The 14,205-nt window shown below is 32.0% G+C and overlaps 1 long non-coding RNA gene across 1 annotated transcript; it reads left to right on the top strand.

The window, feature by feature from the left end:
- Nucleotides 1-2,912: 2,912 nt before the first annotated feature.
- Nucleotides 2,913-13,190, top strand: LOC105370231 (uncharacterized). The gene is made up of 3 exons (XR_942010.2): nt 2,913-2,975; nt 5,061-5,147; nt 12,891-13,190. It is a non-coding gene; the product is annotated as an uncharacterized LOC105370231 (long non-coding RNA).
- The last annotated feature ends 1,015 nt before the right edge of the window (nt 13,191-14,205 follow it).

A 14,205-nucleotide genomic window follows, 5' to 3' on the forward strand; every position in this document is an offset into this window, starting at 1 on the left:
AAAAAAATCTAAATATTAAAATAATTTTAAAATATTCTAGGTACACTGGACACACAGCCAGGTGGCACAGATTGAGTTTTCTCTTTTCTGCTTATAAATTCATTGTTATTTTACAAATGAACAGAAAAATCTTATTGAAGGTGCTAGTATATATACGGTAATTAAACTGATTCACTGTTATGGTGATCCCATAGCTTCGATTTCATAAATGGACTACAGTAATTTAGATCAGAGATTGTCCAGATGAAAGCACGTATTATCCCATACTCTAGGCAGCATAATCATTACTTTCTTTGCTACTATTCTGCTCTCTTCTATCTCTTTTTTTTCTACATTTATTTGGCTCTGATCACACTCTCCACACTATCCAGGTCTCTCTCTCTCTCTCTCTCTTTTTATTCTTCTATGTTCTTTGGTAAATGGAAATTTTCCTAGTTTTCTCCACAATCTCCCAAGGAAATAAGAGACATTAGAAATGTAGTATCAGGAGTTTGAACATCAGATATTGCTAGATGAGTCTTTAAGAGAAACAAAAAGCCAAACAGATTTACTAAAACTGCTGTCTATAGACTTGATGGAAACCTAGTAGAAGGCAATTAATTATTTCATAACAAATAAACAACACCCTTCCTAATTCCCTAGTTAGCCATGGTTTAGAACTTCATCTTAAATGTAATCTATTTAAAAGAATCTGTCTCACTTTCACTAATACAAATTCGTGCAGATAATTGAAAAAATAACCAATACACCAATTATAAAAATATAATATTGTTTATTTTTATTCCATGTGGTGTATCAGTAAGGATAACTACGCAGCGGTCCTCTAGTTTCTGTGGCAGTAAGCAATCTATACACAGTCACCTTGGTAAAAAAAAAAAAAACTGGTTGTTTTTACAATATATTATGCAATTTCCAGCGCAGGTTGATAATACAGAGATAGAAGAAATGAACAATGATATTTAAGACACTGCCTAATACTTAAAAAGATTAAATACCAGATGTTAAAAAGGTATCAAATTGAAAATAAAAGAAACTGATATGACCTCTATTGTTTAAGTGGTTCTATTGAATAAAAGCATAAAATGAGCATCACAGGCAATTGTTCCCAAGATCAGGTGTAAAATAAAAGGTAAAGTGAAATTTTAAAATCTTTTAACTTAAGTAAAAATCTTCCACTTTTCTAAATATCTAAAATGTTTAGTTTTTAAAAGTACACCATTGACAAATTCCTCAGAAGTTATTTTCTCCAGAATAAATTTTAATTGTCTAGGTCAGAAGTTAAAAGATAAGATTTAAACAAGTTTATGAGTGGAACAATTGAAAGTTGAAAACAAAATATAAATATAATAAAAACAGATTAAGGAAATTTAAAAAGAGAAAAGATGTGATAAAAGTACTCAGAAAATGTTTTTCTCTTTTTTTATGAGGAAGAGGATTTTCCATTCTTGAGCATTACAATATTTAGATCTAAAAATAATTTTTTCTCATTAAATGTTACTTGATAGTTTTTTATACTTTTTTTTTCTACTTATCTTGGTTAATACATGTAAATCGATGATTAACATATAAGTCCTAATTAGTTTACTATCTAATGAACAATAATGTATAGTTCAATGTTTAATGACATCTTACTTTGAAAGAATATATTACAAGTTTTTAGGAAATTTTCTTTATGCCATATATTTAAGTAAACCACTAAAAACATCAGTGACTTGGCAATCCTGAAAAATATGTAATGATGTGATACAGCAATCATTCTTAGGAAAAACTAAATGAAAATTTGCAGTTAGTGGATAATTTCATTATTAAATGAAAATATTTAAATAATCAACATTGCAATAAACAATTATTACATGCCAAATATTTTAAATACATGCTGTGTGAGGGATGTTTTCCTAATTACATCATTACCGAAATTTCTCAGGTTGCAGTATCTTACACATTAGTAGTAGTACTATATTTCATTTTATTTAAATTTTTAGCTGCCTTGCAGTTTAAGAAGCACAACTATCTTTGGACTAATGGGATTTAAACAATGAAATGAAATCCCTGACTCTAATGCTTCTTTGCTTGAAATATTCTCTTTCAGATGATGGCTGAGTGCACCAACTCACTAGGTGCTATTTTTACTTCTATGATTCCATGGTAACAAATTATCTTCATCTTACCCAGGGTTTCTCACATAAAATCCTCTAAAGTAAGGTTGATCTGTAGGTAATAACACAGAACCAAGTAAAATGATTTATTTTTGAGAATGAATTAAAATTAAACAACATGCAGTTTGCCCAGAACCCAAGTAGAGAAAAGAAATAACTCTAAGAGAAAAGTTCTAATACTAAATTTGGTTGGCTTGTACCTGGAGAAACCTAAAGCAGAAATTTCAATGCTTCATTTTATATAAACAACTACTTGTTGCCTATACAGTAAGTAAACATACTTATGTTTTTTCAACATATTTGGATGATATAGGTAAATTATTTTACATAAAGACTATACATTAAAAAGTAGGAAAAAAGTCTAAATTTTGTACATGTCCCAAATTTAGCATATTTAGAATTACAGTACAATAAAATGTTTTATATGTAGACTTAACATGAAAATTCTTCAAGTTGAATTCAAAATGAATTCAAATGTTTTATAACAATGGGACCCAAATTTTTTCTGTGAACTCAGTTTTATAGCAAGATAAAGCAAAAAGACTATTTTTATTTACACTATATTTAATTTTGCTTTAATGCTTATTTTATAATTTCAGAGAGTTGAGGTAGAATTTATAACTTCTTTTTATGTCAGAAATTTAAGATAAAGTTATAGTCTGTAATAGTATATTTTAATGTTTGTTATTTCTTTATATGTGTATACATAATTTACTAAATTATTTCTCTTTCTTTGGATGTATAGGCTATTTCAGTATTTTTCACTTACCAGTAAGATTCTGATGGCTATCTTCTTGAGTATAACTTGAAATTATTATTGTAAGTTATTGTTCCTATTACAGTGAGATTCTAAGATGTGGGTTATCAGGGTTAACTAACTTGAACACTTAAAATATCTTTCCAGATAATGTTGTATTTATTTTCAGAGTTTAGAGTACAGGCTGTTTCACAAGTTTAGCCAAGCAAACAAGTTCATAGCAAAGTTTTTGTTCAATATGCTGAAGTCCAACTGCTTAATCTAGCTGGGTGCTGTACATTGTGATAAAACACAAAACAACCGAGATGAAGCAGGCTGTCACATTCCACCAGACCTTCCCTTCAGTGTTAAAATACACTCATGTCTCATTCTGGTCACAGTTTAGATGGTGAATGTTCTTTAGGTGGCAGAAGGTTACTTTTCTGGATAAAATAATTCTTAAAAATTATATCTAACTATAATAAAGCTGAAATTTTTATGACTTTTCTAATTGTACTCGAGACTAATCAGAAATATATTGGAGAAATTAGTTTGGCATTTTTCCCAGGAGGAATGATAACCATCCGAAAATGACATAAACAGCGATACATTGAGACAACAGCACACATGACATGGATTAGAATTTGATCATTTACAAGCAATTCCTAGTAATAGCTTTACAGAAAAAAAAAGATAGTTGACATATTCAAAGAACTACATATTATAATAGCTTTTCAGAGGAAAAAAAGCTTGCTTTTTAAAAATATGTTTTAATTTTGAAATACTTTTATATTTACAGAAGAGTTGCATAGAGAGTACAAAGAGATTCCATATACCTTTCACCTAGCATCACTTAGTGTTAATACCTTATATAATCATGTACTTTTATTAGAACTAGGAAATTAACACTAAGTAAATTACACTATATATTAGAGTTCACCAATTTTCCCAATGTTCTTTTTCTTTTCTGGTATCAAACTCATGATACTGTGCTGCATTTAGTTGTCATGTTTCAGTCTCTTCCAATCTGTGACCATTTTTCCATTTTTTTCTCATTTTTCACGACTTACACTTTTGAAGAAAACTGGTCAGATATTTTTTCAGAAGTCCATCAATTTGTGTTTTTCGAATGTTTTCTCGTAATTATACTGAGGTTACGCATTTGGGGCTAGAAACCCGCAGAAGTGATGTGATTTTCACATAGCGTCTTAACTGGAGGTACATTTATTTTATAAAAATAATACAGAATAACAAGGAAGACTATACAAGATGGTGAAGTTAACACTGTGGGACAAAACTGTCTTTCTTAAATATGATTATTACATTTGAAACCAAAGAATAACTGAAATTAGACAATAAAATAACAAAGGAAAGAATCTGAGTTATTTGTGCTGATGTATAATGCTGATCACTTGGTTAAGGGACTCTTTTTTTAAAAAATATAATTCTGTTCCAATAGAAAGATTTTATAGTTTATAATAGAGACAGATAATTCAATGATATAAACAACATTTTGACTAAAATCATCATGAAAATTTCAGATAATGGTAGTTCTTTACTGTTAATGTACAGTTATACTGTAAATACTGAAAAAAATTAGAGTAGTATCTATTAAAGGCTGACACATTTGTATAACTACCTATGATACATTTTTCATAGGTAGTTACATATATATGCATAAAGAATTTGAAAATTCTTTTTGGTTTATTGCATAAAATATCTTCTAAGGGAAAATAGTAGAAATTTGTTGACTGACTTGAAATTAATTAAATTTGCAGATTAACCATTATACTTCACAGTCTGTAAAACCTATGGATTTCCAGAGTGTGATGTACATGCTGAGCTGGTGGTAACAGTCAACTCTACACACACATTTCTACTTGTTGAGTTGAATGTTTACTAAGAGTCTATCTTGTTGGTTCGCAAATGACTTCATATAATTGAATATGCTATGGCATTTTATAAATTAATTAAATATTATGTACATCTAAGATTTGCAGTGAAGGTGATAAGAATACAAGGAAGCCACTGAAAATAATTTCAAATTCAATATGGATACAGTAACTGTAAATGAGAAAATGCCTTATAAATACTTTAACAATTGTGTTATAAGAATAAAAAATACATTTAAATTGTAGATCTAACTTTTGTTTTTTGTTTTGATCTAGCTTTTGAAAAAAACAAACTGAGAAATCATTTGTGGGGTAAAAAAGATATGGACAGCAATAAGTACTTACCTCTATATTGAATGATAGGTAAGTGAAAATACATTAAAGTAGTATAAGTTTAAATTGTAAAGAAATTGTTAAAAATTCTTGCCTTGCTTAAACAAAAGTTAAATTTAGAGACATGCTTGAAATACTCCATTACTTATATATTCTCTTATTTATTTACCTGCTCACTCATTTAATAAATGTTTACTATTTATCTATTACATTACATTTTCAATATTAGAAAAATTGTATTAGCATAGCCAACATTTGTGTGAAACACATAATTTAATTTAGAAAATATTAAATAATATAAAAACGAGTCACATTAAGGTTTTATAAAAATAACACAGAGTAATCAGTGAGAATATAATGAATGATGAAATTAACATTATGGGGTTAAAATGGTCTTTGTTAAATATGATTATTACATTTGAAACCAAAGAATAACTGGGTTAGACAATACAATGATAAAGGAAAGTAGCTGAGAAAATAACAGAAGGAAAGGCTCTGATTAGGGAGAGAACTTGGATCCTTTGTGAAACTGGAAGCAGACCTTTGTGTGAGGAGTAGTGCTAAGATGAAGACTGGAGGAGCACTATCTACAGAGCAGCGCCTGCGGTGGCCAATGGGAGACCATTGAGATGGAGCCTGCCATAGGAGTGAAACGGTAAATGGAGTGAGCAGTGCATATGGAAATAAATGGAAGAACACTGTAGATGAAATAGCTTGTGGTGAAGAATGGAAGCGCACTATGTGTGAGGCTTTGGTGAAGATTGGAAGAGCATTGTGAATAGGTCATGCTCCTTCTTGTTAAAAATAATAAATTCACTTACACGGAGCTTAAGAATTTCTATGCATTAAAACATACTAAATGAATGAAGCAGTATGCCAAAACTTATTAATACATAATTAGAGCAAATATTTGTAAACTTTTCAAAAACTGAGAGTCAGTATTAGGCAAACCAGTAGTCGTTTCTAGAACGCTTTTAAAATATCTCAAATCACTATTAAAAGCACAAGTGACCCAATAGAAAAAAAGGCAAAAAAAAAAAAAAAAAATACAGACACTTTACCAAGGAGAAAATACACATGGCCAAGAAACACATTTTTAAAAATTCAGTTTTGTTAATAATCAGGAAAAAAAATGTTAATGGTGTACCTCAAGCACACATTAGAGGGACGAAAATTGCAATGACTTCATATACTAAACTGTTTTGGGGATAGAGCTACATCCTGAAATCCCTTGAACACTGCTAGTGAAAGTGTATTTGGAAAACAATTTTGCATTAGATAATAACAGCTGGTTATTCTCATTCAATGTAATACAGCTATTTCATTCTTAGACATATAACCTGAAAAGAGTCTCATAATTGTCCGTGAAGAGATAGTTACAATAATACTCATGGCAGCATTTCTTCTATTATAAAATGCTGTAAACGTTTATCACTTTAGATTGGAAAAAGGAATTGTGGTATAGTCATAAAGTAGAATAATTAAAGCAATGACAATTAATGAGTACTTCATACCGCAATACATACCACTGTGTTTTACACATATTCCACAATATATCAGTAGAAGTGACTACAAACATTGTTGAGGAAAGGAAGAAAATCACAAAAGAAAGCTTACAGATGAACAATTTCCTAAATGGCATTTTGAGGAACCCCAACTAGGGACTCTCTTCCTGGCAAAATAACCATAGTTGGTGAAAATTAAACACACAAACTAATAGTGATCTATAGTCTCTGGAAACAGTAATATGGGTATACAACAAATGGAGAAATATATATTCAAGAGTGTCTACTCACTCTCAGGAAGAACATAGCCACTCTCACTCTGCATGCCACCATCCCATCTCAGCATAAGAGAAGCTCCACTCTGGACTGCTGTGTCCGTGGTCCATGTCTATAGTATCTTCCCAGGAGAGGCAGGCTGTCTGCATTTTTTATTCCCCGCCAGCGCTGAGAATGTAAGTATGTTTTTTATCTACGTAGCCCACACTGGTAGGTTGGAAGTTTCATCTCAGGCCTGGAAGATGGAACATACTGAGATGTTGATCACCCTTGCCCCAGCTTGCTTGCATACCAGGGTTCCATACAAGAAGAGACAAGTTAGGAAACTAGAAGCCACCACCTATGCCTCTATCCAACAACAAGCTCTTTTTTTAAATTTTATTTTATTTATTTATTTATTTTTATTATTATACTTTAAGTTCTGGGGTACATGTGCACATTGTGCAGGTTAGTTACATATACATACATGTGCCATGTTGGTGTGCTGCACCCATTAACTCGTCATTTACATTAGGTATATCTGCTAATGCTATCCCTCCCCCCTCCTCCCAACTCACAACAGGCCCCAGTGTGTGATGTCCCCCTTCCTGTGCCCAAGTGTTCTCATTGTTCAATTCCCATCTATGAGTGAGAACATGCGATGTTTGGTTTTTTGTCCTTGTGATAGTTTGCTGAGAATGATGGTTTCCAGCTTCATCCATGTCCCTACAAAGGACATGAACTCATCATTTTTTATGGCTGCATAGTATTCCATGGTGCATATGTGCCACATTTTCTTAATCCAGTCTATCATTGTTGGACATTTGGGTTGGTTCCAGGTCTTTGCTATTGTGAATAGTGCTGCAATAAACATACGTGTGCATGTGTCCTTATAGCAGCATGATTTATAATCCTTTGGGTATATACCCAGTAATGGGATGGCTGGGTCAAATGGTATTTCTAGTTCTAGATCCCTGAGGAATCGCCACACTGTCTTCCACAATGGTTGAAGCAGTTTACAGTCCCACCAACAGTGTAAAAGTGTTCCTATTTCTCCACATCCTCTCCAGCACCTGTTGTTTCCTGACTTTTTAATGATTGCCATTCTAACTGGTGTGAGATGGTATCTCTTTGTGGTTTTGATTTGCATTTCTCTGATGGCCAGTGATGATGAGCATTTTTTCATGTGTCTGTTGGCTGCATAAATGTCTTCTTTTGAGAAGTGTCTGTTCATATCCTTTGCCCACTTTTTGATGGGGTTGTTTGTTTTTTTCTTGTAAATTTGTTTGAGTTCTTTGTAGATTCTGGATATTAGCCCTTTGATCAGATGAGTAGATTGCAAAAATTTTCTCCCATTCTGTAGGTTGCCTGTTCACTCCGATAGTGTTGGAAGTTCTGGCCAGGGCAATCAGGCAGGAGAAAGAAATAAAGGGTATTTAATTAGGAAAAGAGGAAGTCAAATTGTCCCTGTTTGCAGATGACATGATTGTATATCTAGAAAATCCCATCGTCTCAGTCCAAAATCTCCTTAAGCTGATAAGCAACTTCAGCAAAGTCTCAGGATGCAAAATCAATGTGCAAAAATCACAAGCATTCTTATACACCAGTAACAGACAAACAGTGAGCTACATCATGAGTGAAATCCCATTCACAATTGCTTCAAAGAGAATAAAATACCTAGGAATCCAACTTACAAGGGATGTGAAGGACCTCTTCAAGGAGAGCTACAAACCACTGCCAAGGAAACAAAAGAGGATACAAACAAATGGAAGAACATTCCATGCTCATGGATAGGAAGAATCAATACTGTGAAAATGGCCATACTGCCCAAGGCAATTTATAGATTCAATGCCATCCCCATCAAGTTACCAATGACTTTCTCCACAGAATTGTAAAAAACTACTTTAAAGTTCATATGGAACCAAAAAAGAGACCGCATTGCCAAGTCAATCCTAAGCCAAAAGAACAAAGCTGGAGGCATCATGCTACCTGACTTCAAACTATACTACAAGGCTGCAGTAATCAAAACAACATGGTACTGGTACCAAAACAGAGATATAGACCAATGGAACAGAACAGAGCCCTCAGAAATAATACCACACATGTACAACTATCTGATCTTTAACAAGCTCTTAAAGCAGGAGTGTCACTCAAAGAGAAGCAGTGGACTGTCCTCACCCCCAGCTCTGGAGCAGTGAAGCACAAATTTAGCACAGGATGATGGGTGAGCTGTAAGAACAGAGCTCTGGAGCTCTCTCCAGAGTAAATAAATTTACTTGTTAAGCCATTGACATGAGACTGGTAGTTTCAAGAGAGCAAAAAGCTAAACTTTCTACCAGTTTATATGTATTGCAAAACGGCAGTTACTTTTGAACCAACCAAATTGGTGCAATGGAATTATACAGCCAAGAAGAACCTTCATATGGTTACAGCAAACTTCAAAGATTTGTCACAGGAAGTACTCCTGAAAAGGAAACTTAATTTAATTTAATTGGATCATAACGTGTAGATGTATGCCCTAAGACTTTGTCAAAAACAATAGAGAAATCAGCCAGCAATTGGTGAAGCCTAAGTTTGATGTGTTGCCATGAGAGGTCAACAAATTAACAGGGAAGTCAGAGAAAGAGACAAAGACAGCCCTGCTAAAACCACTGTCATCCTTGAGTGACTCACATACTCAAGATTATACCGTGGAAGGAATGAGATGAGAGAGAGAAAGGAACAGAAAAAAGAATTGAAAAAATAATGACTGAAAACTTTCAATATTTGAAAAAAAATCTTAATCTACACATCTAAGATTCTCAACAAACCCTTAGAAAGAGAAAAGAAAATAAATTCACACCCTGACACATCATAGTAAAATGCTGAGGGACAAAGATTTTCAAGAAAATCTTGAAAGCAGTAACTTCTTTTACTCATTAGGTACAAGGGAACTCTAATAAGATTAACAACTGACTTCTCAACAGAAAACATGGAGGCCAGGAGGGGTGATGACTTATCCAAAGTACTGAAAACAAAGGAACAGACAAAAAAGAGTCCAAAGGGACTTTTTGACCAAGCAAAATTTCATTCAAAAATGAACATGAAATAAAAACATTTCCAGATGAACAAAAACTCATAGATTTTATAGCTAGCAAGTAATACTCATAAGAAATACTAGAAAAAGTTCCTTGGGATTAAGAATAATTTACCTGAGAGAGTAATTCAAATGCATGTTAGAAATTAAGAGCACCGGTAATGCTAATTACAAAAATTTAACACCTGGTAAAAATGCATCTTAATTTTCCTGTCTTAACTGATTTAAAAAGCAATTTTATATAACAATACATGTATAATTGCATTGTGGGGCCTATAGAATTAGAATATACTTAGCAATAACAGGACAAAGGATGTGAGTAGGAGAAAAATTACACTGAAGTAAAAATTAACACTAGATGGTAACTTGAATTCAGAAAAACAAGTGCAGGAAACCAGAAATGGTAAATTAGAAAGACAATATAAAAAATTCTGTTAATATGTACTCGCCTGCCTTATTTTTTCCTTCCACCTTCTTCAAAAGATATAATATTATCTAAAGCTATAGATATAACAGTATATTTTTGGATTTTCATATATATATATATAAATGTGTGTGTGTGTGTGTGTGTGTGTGTGTAAAACATGAATAACAATAGGACAAATGAGAAAAAGGAAATTACACTATATAGAACTAATGCTTCCATTTCTTGCTGGAGTTAAACCAGTATACACTAAAGTCAGTTCTGATAAGTTAACAATTATAAGCCCTAGAATAGTCTCTCTCTCTCTCTCTCTCTCACACACACACACACACACACACACACAGTATTATATATATTATACATATATATAGTATTATAAATATATATATATACAATGGAAAAGTCATTAAAGGAATCAAAATACCGTAGTAGAAAATACCTGCTTGATTCTCATGAAAGAAATGAAGGAAGGATATACAAGTAAACATAAGGAGAAATATAGGAAATAAAATTTAAAATAGAAGACTAAATCGAACTATATCATTACTAACATTAAATTAGAATAAGTTAATACAATAAAAAAGCAAAGATAGTTAGACCAGGTTTTTTAAAGATCCATTCTATACTGTCTTCAGGAGATGCACTTGAGACTTAAAGGTACAAATAGGTTAAAGATATAAAGATTTAAAAAGATATAAAGATTTAAAAAGATATATCATGCAAAAGCAGCTATGAGAAAGTCAGAGTGGCTATATTAATACCAAATGAATACAACTTCAAAACAAAAAGTATTACTATAGATAAAGAGAAATAGTGACTGCAGGTTCGATCTATCAGAAAGTTACAGTAATTGTAATATACATACTCCTAATAACCCAAACATGTATAAAGCAAAAAGTGACAAAATTGAAGATAGATATAGATAATGCAACAATGATTTTGTTTGAAACATCAATACCTCATGTTCACTAAAGGAAAGAACAAGTAGGCAGAAGATCAGTAAGGAAACAGAAGACTCGAACAACACTATAAACCAAGTGGACCTAACAGAAATCTCTGTAACACTCCATCCAAAAGGAATGAAATGTACATTCCTCTCATGTGCACATGGGTCGTTCTGCAGTGTAGATCATATTGATAGGCCTTTAAGAAAGTCTAAATAAATATACCATACAAAGATTGCAATTATAAAAATGATGTCCTCTGAGAACAATAGAGGAAAATGAAATAACAGAAGGAAATTTGAAAAATAAAGAAATATGTGGAAATTAAGCAACACACTCCCCCATAACCAGTGAGTCAGATATGAAATCACAAAGTAAATTAGAAATTACTTTGATATGAATTAACATACCAAAACCTGCAGGGATTCATATAGTTCAATGCATATAGGGAAATTTATACCTTAACATCTATATTAAAAAAGAAGAAAGATTTCAAATCAGGAATCCAACCATCCACCTTAAGATACCAAAAAAAAATGAGCAAACTAAATTTTAAAAAGCAGAGAAAGAATATAACAAAGACTAAAGTGGAAAGCTATAAAGTGCAGAACAGAGAAACAACAGAGAGAATCATGAAACTAAAAAGTGGTTTATTAAAAGATTCAAAAAATTAACAAACATTAACTAGACTGACCAAGAAAGAGTAAGAAAGTTCAAATCATTAAAATCGTAACTAAAAGAGAGCATATTATTATTAATCTTATAGAAATAAAAATAAAGGAATAGTATAAACAACTTATGCTAATAAAATATATAAGCTAGTTTAAATAAAATAACTCCTGAAAATACACAAGTTAATAAAACTGACTAGAAGCACTAAAAGTTTTGAAGAGACCTCTATCAATAAAATAGACTGAATCTGTAATTTCTTTGATGTCCCTCAAATAAAGCTCAGGGCCACATGGTTTCCTGAGGGAAACTGATGAATTCTCCAAGAACTAGCGTTACCATCTGGACCTACGTTTTCATTTCTCTTAACTAGTTATCCAATCTCAGATAACAACAAAAAACTGTTATGAATAACATTATTTATAATAGCCAAAAACTGTAAACAACCCAAATGCCTGCCATCTGATGATGGATAAACAAATCGTGGAGTATCCATACAGTGGAATATTATTTGTTTGTAAAAAATGATGAAATGCTTATACATGCTACAACATGAATGAAATTTGGAAACATCATGGTAAGTGAAAAAAAAAAGCCACAAAACATCACATGTTGCCTGATATAATTTCTATAGAATTTCCTGAAGAGGCAGCTCTACAGGCAAGAAAAATTAATAATAATATGATACTGATTGCGAGGCGATAGGGGGAAGAGAATTGGGTGAAAATGGTGAGTCACTGTTAGTGAATATGGATGTTTTCTTGGGAGGATATGAAAATGTTCTAAAATTGATTGTGATCATGGCTGTACTACTCAATGAATATATTAAAAACAAAGGAATTTTACAATTTAAAGTATAAATTGTATTGTGATTGACTGAATTTTTCTATGTTCCCAAAGGTCAGATGTTGAAGTGGTCACTTCCAGTGTGGTTTTATTTGGAACTGGGACCTCTAAGAAAGCAATTAAGGTTAAATGAGGTTGCTCTGATCTGACAGTATTAGTGCATTTATAAGAAGAGAAATTAGGGAGCTATCCAGCCCCAATGAGAAAGAAGAGGTCACATAAGCACACAGCAAGAAGGCTGCTGTCTACACGTCTAGAGAAGAGGCCTCAGAAAGAAGCCAGCCTTGCCAGCAATTTGATCTTGGACATTTTAGCCTTGAGAACTGTGAAAATAAATTTCTGTTGTTTAAGTTACCCAATCTGTAGCATTTTGTTATGGCAGCTATAGCAGACAAGTGTGGTATACTAACTAAATAAAACTTATTTTTTAAAAAATGGACAAAGAATTTGAATTGACACTTTTCCAAAAATGTTATACAATATGCAGTATGTACATGAAAAGAGAGTCAGTATCATTAGCCATCAGGTAAATACCAATGAAAACCATGAGACACCACTCACATCCACTAGAAATTGCATATAATATTCCCACAAAAATTGTATATAAATTTGTACAGCAGCATTATTCATAGTAGCCAAAAAGTGAAAATAATTCAACTGTCCATCATTCAATGAATGGGTTAAAAAATTTAATGTGTCGATAAAATGGAATATAATTTGCCACAAAAAGTAATAAAATGCTAATATATACAACATGGATGAATCTTGCAAAAATTATGTTAAGTGGAAGAAGCTAGACCCAAAAGGACGCATATAGTATAATCCTATTTATATGAAGTTTCCTAAATGGGCAAACTCATAGAGACAGAAAGTAGATTCGTGGTTGTCGGTATCTAAGGAAAAGTGGGAATGAAAAATGATTGCTCATGGACATGGCATTTCTTTTTGACATAATAAAAATATTCTAAAATTAGAGGTGTTGATATCAAAAATGCATATACTAAAATCCACTGAATTACAAATTTTAAAAGGGTGAATTTTATAAATTATAAATTATATTTCAATAAAGATGTTATGAAAACTCAAAACAAATAATAAAAAAAGTATTTTCTATTGCTATGAAGTTTCAAAATAGTCAGTGGGGTACACATAGGTGGTAGTAAAAGTAAAAAGAGAGCAAAGATATATTTGCCAGAAAGTTAGGAGAACGAATATTTTCAAGAACAAGGAAAGGGTGTATGATCAGGGAAGGACACAAAAGAGGCTTCTGTAGCAACCGTATTAAAATATCTACCTTTCTATCACATCTGGATGGCTAATCAGTATTCACTATTGCAGCTCTAATGAGAAATAATTTAGACTATAAAAA

Source organism: Homo sapiens, chromosome 13 (assembly GCF_000001405.40).
Source record: "Homo sapiens chromosome 13, GRCh38.p14 Primary Assembly".
Classification (NCBI taxonomy): Eukaryota; Metazoa; Chordata; class Mammalia; order Primates; family Hominidae; genus Homo; species Homo sapiens.